At 40.5% G+C, this 19,056-nt stretch overlaps 1 long non-coding RNA gene across 2 annotated transcripts in view, besides 1 other annotated feature; it reads right to left on the bottom strand.

The window, feature by feature from the left end:
- Positions 1-7,477: 7,477 nt before the first annotated feature.
- LOC107984599 (uncharacterized) overlaps positions 7,478-19,056 on the bottom strand; it is a 29,408-nt gene continuing 17,829 nt past the window's right edge. The window contains exons 1-3 of one of the 2 annotated variants that reach the window (XR_001749780.1): positions 9,559-10,651; positions 9,265-9,436; positions 7,478-8,744 (exon numbers count right to left, since the gene is read on the bottom strand). This is a non-coding gene — a long non-coding RNA (uncharacterized LOC107984599). Of the gene's footprint in view, positions 8,745-9,264; positions 9,437-9,558; positions 10,652-11,007; positions 11,482-19,056 lie in introns of those variants that run through there. The other variant, XR_001749779.2, reaches the window with a different exon arrangement.
- Positions 9,977-10,271: an enhancer, noted in NCBI's record as "tiled region #8838; K562 Activating non-DNase unmatched - State 24:Quies". NCBI's record gives its function as "activates a minimal TATA promoter and a strong SV40 promoter by Sharpr-MPRA in K562 cells {active_cell/tissue: K562}" and the evidence as "EXISTENCE:reporter gene assay evidence [ECO:0000049][PMID:27701403]".

The following is a 19,056-nucleotide window of genomic DNA, read 5'->3' as shown; positions in this document are numbered from 1 at the left end:
TACAAAAATTAGCCGGGCATGGTGGTATGCACCTGTAGTCCCTGCCACTCGGGAGGCTGAGGCAGGAGAATTGCTTGAACCCGGGAGGCGGAAGTTGCAGTGAGCTGAGATCACGCCACTGCACTCCAGCCAGGTGACAGAGTGAGACTCCGTATCAAAAAAAAAAAAAAAATTCTTTTTAGAATATTTGAATTCTGATGATGAATGTTACCGAGAAAGGCTCCCCATGTTAGAAAGAAGTTCCAAGCAATTAAAGGGCTCTGAAAATATTCACCCAGGGCTTGACCTTTTACAATCATTTAAAATTGAACCCTAAAAACCGGAAACCAAAATGAGAAAAAAAAGGAAAAACCAAATACAAGGGCACAAATGCAAAAGTGATGCCGAGGTAATTCATTCCTCATCCAAAACTCATTTTGTAGCAGAAATAGAGCTATTTCTATGGATTTGAAGATTTTGCAGAATAACTGTTGCAAATTTAATGTTACTATTTCATTCCCTTAAAACCCTCACACCTATCAAAGAGCCCTGCCAGTTTCCATCCAAGCACAACAAAGACCTAACTCTCCTTGAGGCTAAGCCAAGATCTGGTCTTCTGAGTTGAACGTCCACGTCAGCAGTGCTGCCAAATGTCTTGAGCCCTGGAACCTCCCACAGATGCGTCTTGACTGCTCCTGGATGGGGTTCTGCAGTCCCGTTCCATGGGAGGAAGCATATTCTTCTGGGGCTTGAAGCACCATTCCCCTCCACCCTTCAGAGAGCTGGGTGTACAAAACATGTTATTTTGCTCCACTGTACCTTCAGCTTGGCAATCATAGGAGAAAAGCTATGATTCTGATGTTGAAAAGCAAAAGGTTGATTTGTGACTCATGCAATACAAAAGAAATAATGCTGAAGGAAAATGGCTTTGAAGACATGATGTACTGACATATTTAACTACCATGGGGAGGGTGAGCAAGAGGTTTTGTGCAGTAAAAAGAAAAATATATTTATTTTTCTGCAGTTTTCAATTTCAACAAGGTCTTGAGAAAAATACCAGATACTCATAGTGGAGATTTTCACATGAGCAACCAGCAGTTTACTCTCTCATGGTTGAGTGCTGTACTCTGTATATTGACAAAGGTTTTTAAACATTCAACACGTTGCTTTGGTGGGAGTAAAATGGCAGACTGCAAGACAATTTTCAAATAAAAAATACGTATCTTTTTTTTAATTGTGCTAAGCTGAATCTTTATGTAACAGAAAAACTCATGTTCTAATATTCTGAAAGCCCCAATAACTTTTTATGAGGAAACCCGAGAATAGTATGCTGAAGTAAAGCACTTGGGTGCAAGTCACAAGCACTCTCTGTGTGCTGGGCTAAAGAGGAGAATGTTTGCCTCCCGTGACAGTCGGAGATGTAACAGACCAAAGGCAGCATAATTTTCTGTATGTTTAAACACACTCTAGCCTCCAGGTAGCAGCCCATCCATTCCGTATTGATGTCCCATCTACAGACTGTGTGCAGACCCCACCCACATTTGAAAAATCATTCAGCATCCCTCAGAACCAGAGCTAGAGCCATGTGTGTGTGTGCATGCATTTTTCCTAAAGTAATATGTGCTCATATTTAAAAATAAAATAGTACTTAGCACTTAAAATTGAAAACAAGAATGTCCTGCTTCATGCACACCCCACCCAGCTCCACTTCCAAATAGGCAACCACTATTCACTAGCTTGGCAGTTTCCCCTGGCAGTGACTCCATTTCTCTGAAAACACGAATTTTTATCCCTCATTCTTCATTAATGCATTATACCCATTACCTATTGACTTACTTTAATGGCCCAAGATAATTTAACTTAACTAAGCTCCTAACAAACTTCTACTTCTATTTTAATTCCCCTGTCTTTGTAACTTTAGATAACCCATGTGTGCCTCTTTTCCTTGTTTTTTTTTTCTAAGTCTCTCTGTGGTACACTTTCAGCAATTACTTGAACCCCTAACAACTGAATGGTAAAGGCTGCCGTCTCTCTAGGTGTCAAGCAGTTCAAAAGTGAGGCCCAGGCAGGACATCCCAGGCTGTGTGGATCTGTTTTCTGAACCATATAAGCCCTGCAATGCATAGCAAATAAACTCATTATGTGGCTGCCAACCTTTAATTTGTAAAGAGAATAAGTTATTTTGTGACAGGCCACACCTTACTGCCAAGCGGCGGGGCAATGTGCTCTCCACCTGGGCAGCCAGGTGCCTACCTAAAAGCTATGGCGTCTATTCATGGAAGAACGGAGCAATGACAAGTCTTTGCCACCTTCCCTTCCCACTCTCGATCACCTTAGACCATCTATAGACATTTCTTCATGTCAGAAAATCCTTACTTCTATTATTAAAGAAAAAAAAGAAAGCTCTTCATCAACTCTGTGTTTCTTTTTATTTCAGCTAATCACAACAAGTGGCATTCTTCTTCCTATGACAGCTTTATTTGATAACAACATTATGCTCTCTCGCCCTCACAAGGTTCTCTGGTTCTTTAAACATGAGTCATTTGGAAATGATCTGTGCGGCCCAAGTCATCCCTGTTGCAGTTCTCTGGACAGATCTCATCTGTCTACTCCTCTTTAATAAGCGTGTGGGTTATGAAGTGGCTTCTGGACAAAACTCTGGCATTAACCAATTGTAGGGCCTTGGCATGTCACTTGAGCTCTCTGATCTGTGGTTTCTCTGTTTATAATATGATTGCTTTTTTAATGTCCAAGAGCAACATGAAAATCAGAGAACTATAGAATCTTAAATGGGAAAAAAATTTCAAAAGTCTTAAAATTCCATCTCTTTCCAAATGCATAAATCCTTTCCCAGTATCCCTGGAACGTGTCAGCTAGTTCCTGAACTCTTGTAGTAACGAAATTGAAACTGATACTTCAAGTGTGGTCTGACTTGAGCAAAGAACAGTGGCATTATTAACACCCCTGACCTTGACACTGTCTTGTTAAAAAAAAGTTCGTACTATATTCATATGTATTTTTTGGCTAATGTATCATACTTTGGCTCATGTGGTACTCATGGTCACAGATAATGAGAATTATGCACACGCGCGCGCACACACACACACACACACACATCCTTTCTACCACATTCTGAACTTAGTCTGTTTTCCTCCAAATGCAACTGCCTGATTTTTGTTTTCTAAATGGTTTGTTGCTTTTGTTGATGTTTTTCTCTGATCAAACAAGTAATTCAGGCCTATTGCAAAAAAAAAATTTGAAAGGTCAAATGTGATTTGAAAAGTTGACTATCATTGTAACCCAGAACATTGTTACATTCTGTTGGGTGTCACTTCAGACTTTTTTTCTCTCTGTCTGTATGTCTCTCTTTATCTGCCAATGCTCATATACTTACACACACATGCACACCAAATCATGGTACATTTGATTTGGATAAGAGAAAAGCCCACTTAAATCAATCGATTTGAATGACTAAGGGGACTGGGGGTCTGTGTGGATCTGAGGCCACAGGCAGGGTAGCTTAAAGGTTTACTGATGCAGCGGCTTAGCGATGCCAAGTTTCCCCGCTCTATTCTATTTCCTATGGTATCAGCTTCATCCAAGCCTGTCTCTTTTTTTTTAATCGTATCAGGATTGGTCCCGAGCACTGGTGGGGACAGATGTAGGCATACTCATACTCAAGGAGAGGAACTGAGAGCCATTTATGAAAGTTATCTTAGGAGAGCAAGAATTGTCATTATCACAAGTTCTTAGCAAGCATATTTCCTCATCTCACTCCTTGAGAGGACTTACTTATTCGCTTCTGAATCCACAGTTGTAGCCACGTGATGGGGTTACTCTGATATCAGTTTAGGCCTTAATCAGCCGCTCCACCCCTGAGACCAGAGGAAGAGTTAGCTTCTTCTAAAACTCACAGGCTTGAGTGGACAATCTATAAATTGCTAGACAAAATTTACTATATATATATATGACATTGTGGTTGCTACACCAGGATCTATTTTCCTTCCCTTAGTAAATTTAAAGGGTGATCACCCTTTAAAATACATAGGGGGATGGATGGGTGAGAGGAAGGGTGAATTGATGGATGAACAAATAGGCAGATGAACAGACGTGTGGACAGATTGGCACAGAAGATCAAATTAAATCACATTGCTCTACAACCTGCTTTTTAGTAACCGTATTCCATAAATACTTTGTATGTCAATCTTCATTCTTATATCATTTTAAATGATAAATAATATCCTGGTATAATGACTAATGATTTGAATCATTTCCTATTATTGAACAATAAATGTTTAAAGTGATGGATATGGTGATTACCCTGATCTGATCATTATATATCATGTGCATGCATTGAAACATCACACTGTACCCCATAAATAGGTACGACTATAATATGTCAATTATAAATATTCAAATTAATTAATTTAAAAAATTTCAGACAAGCAGGCTCTATGCAGATCATGAATAAACAATATAGAGCAAAATAAACATGGGCCCCCCTCTACATAGAGCACATAGCTTAGTAGAGGGAGACAGATCATAAACAGATTAACAAATAGGTAATTACAGACTTAGAAATATGCCATAAAGGCCATGCTTAGGTAAAAAATTAATGAAGGGTTGTGCATGGATCCTATTTAGGTGAAACATCAGGGGAAGCACATGTGAAGGACAAGGGACAAGGTATCCCAGGTACGAAGAACACCATATGCAAGCTGTAAGTCAGGAAACGTTGGTCAAGACTCTGCAAAGATCAGTGTAGTGAGGATAGAGGATAGAGTATGGGAATGAAAGGGTAAGCTGAGGCAAGTTTAGGAGAATAAGCAAGACATCATAAGCCACAGTCTGAGATGAGATTTAACTCCAGGAAAATGCAAAGTTAGTGCAGCCTTTTAAGTCAGAGAATGGTAGGATGATATTTAATCAAGAAAAATTTGACTCCATGTGGTGTATTGACCTTGAATAGAGTAAGGGGTCAGGCCAAGAGAAAAGAAGAGATCTGATAATAATGGCTCAGATTTAGGTAGAAGCACTGAATACAGAAAATGTAAGGTGGGTTCAAAGTATGTTCAGAAGACTCAACATGCAGAATTTACTGCAAACTGAATGTGAAATTGAAGAGTGTGACATCACTTAAAGAGATAAGAAAGACTTAGAGAGCAACAGGATTGGAAGGGTGGGATGGGGAGCTCAGTTTTGAGGGTGTCAAGGTAGATGAGATATGATTCCTCATACAAGAAAGGCGTGGACTTAACACACCAGTATGGAGCTCTGAGTAGGCAGAGGGTATTAGAGCCGAGAGGGGGAGTGCAGACATCCAGCTGAAGTCTGAGAAAGAAAGTAACAGGGACACAGGCAATCCTGGGGAATCAGATTTTTATCAGAAACCCAAAGGAAAAACTCCGGAGAAGCACTCAGTGGAGCTCAGAGGTAAGGCTAACAAAGGTGGGGAAAGCTATGGTGCCATGAAAGCCAGCATTCTGAGGAAGAGCATAACCACCTGTGTGGGACGCTGAGAGTGAGGCAGTGGGAGGAGGACCAGGGTGCCCATTGGATGGGCCACTGGAAGGTAATAGGCAACCTCGACAGTGGCAAGTCGGTGGGTTGGTAATGTGAAGGATGACTTGGGAGCAGTTCCTAAAACCATCAGAGCTCTGCCTATCACGCTTTTGGGTAGAGACAATTTAGGGAACGGACCATCCAGGGCAAGTATTACTGAGCCGTACAAGTATACTGAGTATGACGATCTCAGGCCAAACAAACAAGAATCACAGATTTGTGTATTTGTATTTAGACAGATTTGTGTGTCACCTCCTTTGTGGATGTGTAAAGCAGTAGGTGATGGTGGAAAGAACATTGGCTTTGGGGTCAAAGGATGAACCATGCCAGAGCCACACAAGAGCCCATGATTTGTGTTAAACTTTGATTTGGGAGCAAAGAATGAGTCTGAAGCCCACAACTATTTTCATGAGAGACTTTGTGAGATCCTGAACACAGGCTGACCCACCTTGGGACACAGGTAACCACATAAGCAGGAGGGTACCATGGGCATGCCACCTCTGCTCAGAAACTCCCATCCCATTCTCACATCCTGAAGAACATGGCTTTGTGGCTCTTAGGAGATGCCAACATGGCGTGAGGGCACCATCACTAGTGGGAGCAGTGATGCTTCTGTTAGAACCAAAGCAGGAGAGAATAATCAGGGCATATATTGCATGGTGCTACAGTCGGCAGAATGGCTCCTGAGCTTCACACTGATGCTCTCTTTGGAGAGTCCAGAAATTGTTAAAAGTGGGAGGAATGGAACTAGATTGGAGGATTGGAAGGCCTGTTTGAGAACATTTTAAGTTGTTACACAGGCTGATGAGGCATGCCTACCTTTTATTTAACTATTGAAATGCCAAAGTAAGGGGCAGAGCAAAATTTTGACATTCACACATGTCTTAGTTCGTTCTGGCTACTGTAATGAAATATCATAAAGTGGATGGCTTATAACAAAAGAAATTTATTTCTCATGGTTCTGTAGGCTGGCATGTCCAAGATCAAGGTGCCAGCCTGAGTAAATGAAAAGGTAAAGATAGGCTACCCAGGCCAAAAGGAGCTTGCTAGGCAATGACACAAAGACATGGCCAAATGTAGAATGTTCTGGGAATGGTTAGTTGTTCAGTGTTGCTGAAACTGAAGGTGCACAGAAAGGAAGAAAGAGAAGAAGGAGATGACTCTGGAGCAGCAGGTTTGAGCTCCACGGCAAAAGGCACTGTGAAGCATTTGTTCAAGGTAGCGAGAGTCATAGGAAGTTTGTTTTGTTTCTCCTAAGCCAGAGGGGTGATAACATCTTACGTGAACTTTAGGAAGATCTCGCTGCAGCTGTGTGGGGGATGGGTCGGCTTTTCCCCAGTCTACAATGAGACAGTGAGGTTATGTGTTCCAGGAGGGACATGGGCTATGGAGTCACTAAAGAGGGATATTTGTCAGTTGCACCAGCATTATTTCCTAAGTATATTTCCAAATATTTAACAGGAAACTTTTATCTCTAAAGAATGTTTGCCCACCATACATCACAGAGGGATGATAAAGATATAGGTCGTGGACCTGGTGGCAGCTGGCGGGAGCTGACTGAATCATGGGGGGCAGATTCCCCCATGCTGTTCTCATGATAGTAAGTTCTCACTAGATCTGATGGTTTTATAAGTGGTGGTTTCCCCTGCTTTTCTCTCTCCTGCCACCTTGTGAAGAAGGTGTTTGCTTTCCCTTCTACCATGATTGTAAGTTTCTTGAGGCCTCACCAGCCATGTGGAACCGTGAGTCAATTAAACCTCTTTCCTTTATAAATTACACAGTCTCAGGTAGTTCTTTATAGCAATGTGAAAACAGACTAATACAGTAAATTGGTGCTACAGAGAGTCGGGTACTGCTATAAAGATAACCTGAAAATGTGGAAGTCACTGTGGAACTGGGTAATGGGCAGAGGTTGGAACAGTTTGGAGGGCTCAGAAGAAGACAGGAAGATGTGGGAAAGTATGGAACTTCCTGGAAAATTGTTGAATGGTTTTGACCAAAATGCTGGTAATGATGTGAACAATGACATCCAGAATGAGATGGTCTCAGATGGAGATGAGGAACTTCTTGGGAACTGGAGCAAAGGTCACTCTTGCTATGCTTTAGCAAAGAGACTGGTGGCATTTTGGCCCTGACCTAGAGATCTGTGGAACTTTGAACCTGGGAGAGGTCATCTGAAATAGAAACTTATGTTTAACAGGGAAGCAGAATATAAAAGTTTGGAAAATTTGCAGGCTGACAATGTGATAGAAAAGAAAAACTCATTTTCTGAGATGACATTCAAGCCACTGCAGAAATCTGCATAAGTAACGTGGAACCAAATGCTAATCATCAAGACGATGGGGAAAAAAATGTCTTCATGGCATGTCAGAGATCTTGGCAGCAGCCTCTCTCATCACAGACCCAGAGGACTAGGAGGAAAAAATAGTTTTGTGGGCCGGGCCCAAGGTCCCGCTGCTCTGTTCAGCCTCAGGACTTGGTGCTCCATGTCCCAGACACTCCAGCTACAGCCATGACCGAAAGGGGCCAAGGTACAGCTTGGGCCATTGCTTCAAAGGGTGCAGGCCCCAAGCCTTGGCAACTTCCACATGGTGTTGGGCCTGTTCCACCAGCCAGTTCCTTCTGTTCTTGCCATTCATTTGTGTATTCGATGATCACCAGCTGATTTACCTGCAGTGTGCTGTACAGAGGGCCTGGAGTGCCCTTAAGGTGTAAAACACCTGGGTGGTGACCGCATGGCTGAGTTGTACATACAATGTTTGGCCTGTAAAGACAAAAAGGCCGTGCTTTTTTCAAGAGCAGGCCTTCACCAGAAGTGACCAAGGGTTCAGGCTGAAGCTAAGTGGTCAACCCCATCAGCACAGTGGAAGTTACTGGGGAGAAGGGTGGGCAGCAGGAAGGAAAGAAAGGCCAAAGAGGCTTCCCAGGGAGAGGGAGTGGCCTGTGCAGACAGAGGCCCCCCAATCTGACCATGGTTTGCTCAGACAACTTCAAATATTTGATACATCTGAAAGGAGGCAGAGCAAAGGCAGTGCTAAGAGATAAGAACAGACACATCACATCATCAACACCTTCTGGTCACGCTGAGAGACTAATGCATTACACTTACGTGACAGAGAGTGCCTGCAGAATCTAAGTGGTCGATGGCTTGATCAGCTTTGGGTCTCGTAAGCATCACTTTGATGGCTGTGGAGGAGGTTGGCCTGGGGGAGGGAGACATTGGATATAGAGATGCAAAGAGAAATGTATTGAAGCCACTCTTGCTTCAAAAATCAATGACAAAGGGAATGAAGAAGAGGGGGCAAGTTTGCAAACATACTTAGGAAGGCAAATAATCGAAAGAATGGATCAAAGATGTTTACTGTGTCTGTTTAACTAATGACAAATTTTAAAAGGCAGGGAGAAGCTCAATGATGGCATAAAATGTGCTTCGGGTAAATTGCCATCTTTCTTGATGTCTGCATATTATGTTTTTTGCAACTGCCTTACCTCCTCCTACTTTAACACACCCCGTAAAAATCTGCAATTAAACACACACACACACACACACACACACACACACACACACACGATGACTTAGCCCTTTACCAACAAATATTCAGAAAACAGGAATAGTGAAGTCTTGGTTAGTGGTTCCCAACTGGACAAGTCATCAAAAAGTACAGAAGCTCCAGCCCCCGCTCAAAGGTTTTCTGGCTCAGTCCATCTGTAGCAGCTCTCTACCTTCAGCACAGACAGCAGTGATGCCCAAAATGCTGAACAGCTGGCTCTGGCATATCCCAGTGACAGCAGCGGCTGAGGCACTGAAGCACAGACCCTCAGCACCCTTGCACCTGCATCCTGTGTCAGGCATCTGTTGCCACTGAATTTTGGTGAGGGCCGGGTGATGCAGGGCCTGGGAGAGAAGGGGGAGCATCCAGTCACATCGAGGATAAGAAGAGTGGCTGGTTACCACCCACTATGGAGGGACTGTGATATTTAACCACCACTCTGCACCAAGGAATGTGGCCCAATTACCTGTGTTCAGCACTTCTGTGGAGTAAGAAGCTGTCACGAGTAACAGTGACTCACATCAACAGTATTCCCTATGTGGGGGGTTTGAATACGCCCTGTTTGGGAGAGGGTATAGCATTATTTCCAAGAGCATGTGCAGGGAGTCTAAAAGGCACTCTAGATGATCCTGATCTCTCTCCACCAAACCTCACCTGCTGCCAACCCTCCAGAGTTCAGTAAGGACATCCAGCTCTGCAAATAACTGTCCCCTTGAGTATGGACACCTGCTCTCTAATCTCTGCAGATCTGTCCAACATCCTGAAAAGTGCCTGAATCCATGCATTTTCAGGCCATATACTTCCTAATAAAAGAGGGTCCAGCAATCAAACCTGAAAAGGTTAATTTGCCGGGACAGAATCACACTTCATATCAGAGGACAAACTTGGACAGGGGCCAGCAAAGAGACACACTCATGTCAAGAGAGTTCAAGGTGTCACTGCAAGCAGAGGTAGCCTGAGACCAGAAAGCAGGTATACAGGCATAGAATCAGACGGCAAGCAGGCTGGAGCCCCTGCTGGTGAGGAGGAAGCCGGTGATTCATTCTCTGCAGCTGCTTCTTGACCTTGCTTAACCTTCAGGCTGGTTCAGTGGGCAGAGACCCTGACTCAGAGAGATTCCATTTTAGGGTTTAACCTTGGGTTGCCATGCCTTATGCAGATGGTGGCTTTAGTACTTGACAGCAACAACCTGAAATTTTCTAAATGTTTGTTGTTTGTCTAACTGTGGACAAAAGATGATATGTCTCTCCTACTTTCGCTATATTTTTATGACTAGCACCATGATGTCACTGCATACTCATAAAGAGCAAGTGATGATTTTAAAAACAAGTCTCGCGTTAAAAAAAAAAAAAAAACCCTTTCTTTGGTGAGAGTATATATGTATTCCATTCTGGATGGAAGTAATTTCAGTGTAATCATTACAGGAACAGGCATCCCAGCTCTGGCAGCTGATTCAGGGTTCCTCCTTCGCCATTTTGGCCCCTTTGAAATTCCCACTTCCCTGCTTGCTGTGTACAAGCCAAATGCCCTCTCTGAGCCACAGTGCCTTTCAGACTCAGGCACCCGGGATGGCAAGAGGCCCTGCTCTCACAAAAAGACGAAGGAGGAATGGAGCTCTCACTCCCTTCACGCTTGCCACCCGAAGGACCTCCCTTTCCTTCCTCCCTTCTCACCTGTGTCATAAAGGGGACAGCAGAGAGGCTACCAGAGGGAATTCTAAGTTTCTATATTTTTTAAATGAATATTTTATTTAGAATAGTTATACATTTACAAAAAAGTTGCAAAAATAATACCAAGAGTTCCTACATGCCCTGTGCCCAGTTTTCCCTATTGTTAACACCTTATATATTACTATGGTATTTTGGTCACAACCAATTAATCAATACAGATCATTATTATTAACTGAAGTCCATACCTTATTCAGATGTCCTTGGTTTTCACCCAATGTCCTTTTTCTGCTCATGGATGGTATTCAGGAGACTATATGACATTTATTCATCTCGTCTTAGGCTCCTCTGGGCTGTGGCAGTTGCTGGGTCTGTCCATGTTTTTGGTGACCTTGACAGTTCTGAGGAGTACCGGCCAGGCACTTTGCACTCTGTGCCTCAATTTGGGGTTTGCTGATAGTTTTCTCATTATTAGAATGGGGTTATGGGCTTTGAGGAGGAAATGCTCTTCTCATCACCACATCACATGACCACATCATGTGAGTATATACCACCAACATAATGTGTCGCTGTTGATGCTGACCTTGGCCACAGGGCTGAGGTAGTGTTTCTCAACTTTATCCGCTGTGTGGTTGCTTTCCTCACCTTTCCATACGCATTCCTCAGCAGAACAGCACTCTGCATAGCTCGCACTTGCAGGGTGAGATGTGATCCTCCACTTCCTGGAGGGAGAACAGAATGTAAATTATACATTAAATGGAATGATTCTGCACAGGGCTTGCATCTCTTCTTCTTCATTTATTTATTTATTCAACCATTAATTGATAACAATATGGACACATGGATATTGGTCCTAAGCACTGGGTTATGATCCAATCCTGTGATAGTTTTTGGTTGCTCAAATTGCTGTGTATTTGGCAATCTGGGCTCCTTCAATTGGCTCTTGTGTCCCTTGGACATAACCCCCATCGTCGTCAGGTGGGTTTTTGGGGTGCTTTGTTTGTTTTAAATGCTGTCTTACTTACTGACACTACAAGATGCCCCAGGCTCAGCCTCCTTTTTCTGCCTCAGCCCTAGAATCACTTATTTCTGCAAGGGGCTTGGGCTTCCTTTGTTGGAGAATAGTATTAGAAGCCATGATCTGGGCAGGAGGTGTGCTAATTGCTACTGGGGTGTTATTGCTTCTGGGCTCTCTCAGCTGACAGAGAAAGGAAACATATTGCCACCAATATACACTTTATTACATTGTATGTCCTTAATGACTACCAAATTTCCTCCAGGCTGAGGAGAATGGCCTGGGATGAGGTACAAAGTACATGAGCCAATAAACTAGTAACTGAGAAATATTTCTACTAAACAGAACCCACATATAGCTTTGTAAAGCAACTGTAGAGGTCCTCAGAAGTTTCATGACTTGAAATATTTAAGATTGAACCTTTGCATAAGTGACGTGTCCTAAGAATGATTCATCTTATGAATTTTGTCCCAAAGCTAACTGTTACCTGCTGACTTCCACAGCTCTCTGTGCAAATGGGAGCTAGGTTATAATCCAGCTATCTTTTAATGGTTTCTTTTTTTATGCTTTCTTCATCCATGTGGTTGTTAATGAATGAAAGTCAGACTTCAGGAGTATATCTTGTATTCTGGACAGCTGGATCAAGTGCCTGGTGCATTCTAAATAATCAATAGACATTAGGTGAATAAATGAGTGCATAAGTAAATGAATTGCTGACTGAGTTATCATAACTAAACCAAGTAGGATATGTCATGAATAGAGTACTCTAGTTAATGGTACTTGGAAGTATGTCTGTCACTTATAAATACCCTCAGAAATTTATGCACCATGGTTTTAGAAGGCCTGGAGAAGATACCAAATTATGATTTTCCAGCCTTGGAGCTCACTTAGGGGCATATGAAAAACAGATGACATTGCCATGCCAGTGCCACCTTTCTCCAGATTGCTCCCAGGGCCACTCTTTCAGAGCCTGAGGGCTCTGATGATGGGAAAGCACTGGCTTCTCATCCTCCCCATGCTGTCTTCCAAAGCTGTTCCTATTCTCTCATGACTGATGATGCATGCAGTCACGTTAACTTTTCCCATCATAATTCCTTGGTTCATATTGCAAATGCCAACATCCAATTTATATTTTATTTAAGAACCAAAGTAGTTTTGCAAGATTATTTTATTTTCAAAGGCAATGGAATCACTTGTTTTCCCATGTTTTCAAAGTTATCTTAAGTAGTGTAATGGATCGACTCACACAGTGCCTTTCATCCTATTCCAGGTAACAGTGGATGGCAAATTATTTACCAGGGCTTTTAAACTGGGATCCACAGTGAAGCAGCTTAACATGCGGTTCATTCATCTTCCTCAAATTCTATCACTAGCCCCCTCCTAGCCAGTGTGGCTCTTTCTGCTTCTTAGCACTAGGCATTGAAAGTTTTCTTAGGCAGATGAAGGAGTGATGGGCTCTTTGTGGATGCCTGCAGTTCCAGCAGGCAGCTTTATGGCTTGTGCTCTGAGACGCTTGGATGGATTCTTTCTCTTTCCTCTGGGCCCACTGGTTAACCGTATAATACATTGCTTTATTCCCTGTCCCAGCAGTCAAAATGTGGGGCTTTGGAGAAAAGCCAATCGTGCATGCTCTTATGACACTAATCCAAATATGTGTTTATTCAAGGGTGCAGTTGTGCAACCTTTGTGCCCTGAGGCTCCCTGGACAATTGTGGCAGGCTAAAAATGGTCTGATTGGCCTGCATTTCTCACTGGAGAGCTAGGCTACAGAGTTCGTTTTGCTCATTACCGGCCTCTCTCCCAACCCAGTCTGCAGCCCTCCTTAGGGCTGGGTTGCAGCTGCAAACAGTGTTTTTGTCTACAGTGCCCTCTCTGAAAATAGTTGTCTTTGTTGTGACTGAGATATTTAGGTCTTTTTTCAGCAGCACCCTTATTTGATTGACTGATGGGCCTGTAAGTTATTTTTGAATCTGGGTTATTTCTATTTCTGATATAAGTTGCTAGAGGCCGCATAATTGCTCAACTCATCCTTTTTATTTGATAATCTATACTAAAAAAGTAAACTGTTTTGTTGTAAAGTCTACATTTTTTTTTCAGAAATATTGATGGTCAGAACCCAACACTGGGCGTTTCCCCCAAACATAAATTATGTTGCTTAGAGGTACAACATGTCAACATCTTTGTGTCTAGTGCTTTCACAAGAATCTTTTTTAGGATTCTTTTTCTGGAGGAAAAAATAAATAAAAACATATCAAATTCTCTTGTGTAAATCATCTGCGAGGCCCACAAAAATGAAGGGATGCTGTCTGTCAATGAAGATATTATCTGGAGGAATTTACATTAATAATTACATTGAATGTGGTGAATTGCTTGTCTCAATGACGAGAGTTTGATAAATTGAATTATTCACACTACACGGAAATTTAATTAGAGATGGTATCTTAGGCATAATCTATAAAAAGAAGGTCATGAGAGTTTGGAGACAAGTGACTATAGAGCCAGGAAAGAAAATATTGCATTTCTGCAAACTCAGCCATGCAGTTTGCACATGTAGTAAAAATTATAAATATTTTCTGTGTTTTTAAATGTCAAATGTGTATTGTAAATTCAAGTAGTTTTATAATCTTTCTTGAAATAGTATTTTTAAATTATAAAAATGAACAAAAATCTAATTGGACAAGGAAGTCATCTAATGATCTACTAATTATTAAAGTAAGTGATTAGACTAAGAACAATGGTGCTGAAATTCTTAAGTCACAAAATGGTCATCCCAACTCTCATTATAGTTGAGTGATTAATTCAAAACAATGCTGTTTTAATAAACAATAAATAAATAAATAAGCAATAAACTTAGATTCTGCTCTTGGAATATAATATACATTTATAAAAGACAAAGGGAATTTTTACCAAAAAACTTATTCATTCTACATAAAAGATTATACTATGAAGCGAGGTTATGTGGTGAGATAAATAATTGCCAAGCTAGAAGAAGCATCTAGGTAGGACTTTATTAAAAATGTTTGCAGACTTAACATATTTCAATAAATTTTTCCTCAACCCATGTATCACTTTTATCTAATTGCCTACATACTCAGGGCATGAAGGATAGTTCATGAAATTATAGGTTAAATTTAGAGTAAAAATATAATCAATTTTGTTTGGCTTTGGTCTTGTATAGTTTATATTTATATAATTTATTCAGATTTAATGACAATTAGTAAATGACTACATCAACCTGTAATGAGAAACTCACTTTAGTCTTGCAACTAGCTGTTCAGCAATTTATGTCAGATTACGTGTATTGGGAATAGGGAAAACAGGCATAATACGTCATTATCTTACTCAGTGAAACCAAACTTTTTAAAAAATAAACTTTTAAAAAACTCTAGAATATTCTTAGTTGACAAAAAGTTGCAAAGACAGTATGGAGAGCTCCTATATGAAAAACCAAGGCTATATGAATAAAGCATAACTTCAGTTAGTAATAACATATGAATATTGTTTCATTACCATGGCTTGTCACAGCTAATGAAACAATATTCATATGTTATTACTAACCGAAGTTATGCTTTATTCATATAGCCTTGGTTTTTCACCGAAAGTCCTCTTTCTGCCCCAGGACCCCATCCAGGATACTGCATTACATTTAGTTGTTATGTCTCTGTAGGCCCCAGTACAATGTGACGCTTTCTCAGATATCTCTTGTTTTTGATGACCTTGACATTTTTTAGGAGTCCTGGTGTTTTGTACTATGCTCATTTTTGGGGGTTTGTCTGATGTCTTTCTTATGCTAAGACTGGGGCCATGTATTTTGGGAAGAAGACTGCAGAAGTAAAGTGCCCTTCTCATCATAACAGATCAAGAGTACACGCTGTCAATATGTATTATCGCTGTCAATATGTATTATCACTGTCAAGGTTGACTTTGATCATCCGGCTCAGGTAGTATTTGTCAGGTTTTTTCCACTGAAGGTTTAGTCTTTCACTATTTCCATACTGTACTCATTGAAAAAATGTTTTCACTCTGCACAGCCCACATTTCAGGGATAGGGAGATATAGTCTGCTTCCTTAAGAGTATCTGTATAAAGTATTTGAGATTCTTCTGCACAGGATACTTGTCCACTTTCTCCTATTTATTTATTTTATCATTTATTGAGTATGGACTCATGGATATTTATGTTTTGAGTAATAATGCAATACTATGTTATTTATTTTATCAATCAAATTGGAACCAAAGTATTTTATTTCATAGTTATTGGCTTATTTTTTGTCAGTCAAAATCTTGTTTCCTAATCAATATTCACAAATTATTATTATTATTATTATTTTGAGACGGAGTCTCGCTCTGTCACCCAGGCTGGAGTGCAGTGGGGCGATCTCGGCTCACTTCAAGCTCCACCTCCTGAGTTCACGCCATTCTCCTGCCTCAGCCTCCCGAGTAGCTGGGACTACAGGCACCTGCCACCACACCCGGCTAATTTTTTGTATTTTTTAGTAGAGATGGGGTTTCACCATGCTAGCCAGGATGGTCTTGATCTCCTGATCTCATGATCTCAGCTCACGCACCTCCACCTCCTGGGTTCAAGCGATTCTCCTGCCTCGGCCTCCCGAGTAGCATGCCACCACGCCTGGCTAATTTTTATTTATGTATTTATTTTTTGTATTTTTAGTAGAGACGGGGTTTCACCATGTTGGTCAGGCTGGTCTCGAACTCCTTACCTTGTGATCCACCCACCTCGGCCTCCCAAAGTGCTGGGATTACAGGCGTGAGCCACCACGCCCAGCCCACAAAAAAATTTTAATGACATTTAAAAAAAACTAATCAGAATTCACTGTTTATTCATTTTGTTATAGTTTTCTTCTAGAACCTATGCACAGTACTATGTAAACATTACAAGATCAATTAAATTTCTTTAGTGTTAAAATGTCTACCAAAAACATTTAAACATTAATTATGCTAAATATTTTTAATTTATGACTACCTTTCATGTACCTCACAGTTTATTCTTAGTTGTTCAAGAAGAAGCGTGTTTATCTGCAGCTTATTTATATGGGTAAAATTCTTAGGGGAAATCTCATGTATCTCATATCCATGTATCTCTAAACAAACAAGGTTAACTCCATAAAGAACAAAAAAGTAAGGTTTATAACAGATCTGTGTATTAGATAATAAATCATAATGACGTGACTTAGGAGAAATTCCATTTTCAAGTATAACAGAATAGCTTAGGATAAGACCTACACTCCTTACAAGAAAAACAAAATTTTAAACATTGGATAAAATACACACAGATAAATCTATTTAAAGCCTTGGAAGAGCTACTAAATCAGACATCACTGGAGGATTAAGATCCCAGGGAAGTGACACTGCTGGGGTGCTGGATGACTGACATTCTGCAACATTTTTACTCTGGAGGCATTAGCTTTATCTAGAGGAAGGTAAGGAGGTGAAAATGCAGGATTTTCCGCGTCAGAGGACTGCCACTAAGTACACGGGAACCTGCAGAGGCGCTGGTAGTCCGATGGAGCTCAGCTGGAGAGACAAATTTAGAAACTTGAAAGGCCAGCATGTCAGTGGGAAGGAGAGTAAAAAACTGAGCTTGCCACTGTTTTGGGGTTTTTAAAAAAATATGCTTTATTTTTAAGAGCAGTTTTAGGTTCACAGCAAAATCGAGCAGAAGATACATACATTTTCCATATATCCCCTGTGTATTTTTTTTTCCCTAAAGACATCTGAGGAATTCTGAAGCAGCAAGTTTAAGCAGAAGAGAACCTCTGAAAGGCAGAACAGAACTGTCAACAGTGCAGGTCTAGGAATTGCAGTAGAGACCTCACCAGGAGAAGAGGCCCCAGGAAATTCTCCAGACTCTGAGTTGGAAGCCTTCAGCAGGTTCTGCCAAGAGTATGATCACATCAAAAGCAGAAGAAACCTTATGAGTCTGCAGTCCAGTTGAGAGTCAGTTTAATCTCAAATTGAGTTAAATTAAAATGATCTTTCCTTCCTTCAATTACCCTGCCGAGGAAACAGGGGCTGTTCTCTGCAGGATGTAAACTAATTAGGAGACTATAAATATTTGTAAAGACACTGTTTGATATTTAACCAAAAATTTCTAGAAAATTTAAGAAAGGGAACCACAGAACAAAATCTAAGGGGAAAATTACACAAAAGAAATAGAACTACAGGTGATCTAAATATTGGAGTTGGAAACAAAGTTTTGAAAATATTTCTGGTTTTTAAGATAAAGGAAATAAAGAGAAAGATAAAGAGAAATAGATAAAGAATATAATAAAGGTTGCAATTTTAACAGAATATTACTATCTGTAATAAGAATTGAGTAGAAATCCTAGAAATGAAAAGAAACAAAATAACTGAAATCAATAAATTGACAGTTTGGTTTATAAGAGAAAAGAGGATTAATTCTGTAGGACAGATCAATAGAAAGTTGATCTGAATCACAGAGAGGAGCTGAATCAGAGAAAAATTGAATCAAAGAGAGGACTAAAAAAATTTAAAATGAACAAAATAAAAGAGACGCATGAAATTTAATGAAATGTTCTAATATGCATAATTGCAGTTTCAGAAACAGCAAAAGGAGAAAAATGAGACAAAAAAATATAAAAACAGATAAACTGAGAATGTTCCCAAAGTGATTTATGACATCAACTTTCAGATTCAAGAAGTGTAGGCAACCTAAATAGAATAAATACTAAGAAACACACCGTAAGGCAGATCTTAGTGAACGCACTAGAAACCTAAGACAAAGTGGAAAAAGTTTTAAAGCAGTCAGAAAAAAAGACACAACTTTTTTACAGAAGCAACTAAAACTCCAAAAAAGACTTCCATTTCATCGTGTAAACACAGTTATCTTTAAGTACTGAAATGAAATAGCTTCTAATCCAGAATTCTATATCCATCAAAAATCCTTCAGAAATAGACACAAAATAAAGACATTTTAAGACAAGCCATAATGAAGAAACTACACCTGCACTCAAATACTAAAATGAGTTTTTCAGGGAACAGAAAAATGGCCTCAGATGGGAACATGGAAATGCAAGACAGAATAAGGAATAATGAGAGAGTAACTATGTGGGGAAATATAAATACCTATGACCTATACAACAGTAATAAATGACAAGGTCTTCTGGGGTTTAAAAAATAATAGAGTTAAAACACAAGATAACAATAACGCAAAAGGGTCAGATAAAGGGAAAAGTTCTTAAACCCTATTACGTGGTAAAATGTCAGGGACAGCATGTCTCAGGGAATAATAAGCTTGGAGAA

Source organism: Homo sapiens, chromosome 13, assembly GCF_000001405.40.
Source record: "Homo sapiens chromosome 13, GRCh38.p14 Primary Assembly".
NCBI classification, from domain to species: Eukaryota; Metazoa; Chordata; class Mammalia; order Primates; family Hominidae; genus Homo; species Homo sapiens.
This window is presented reverse-complemented; position numbering and strand designations above follow the sequence as displayed.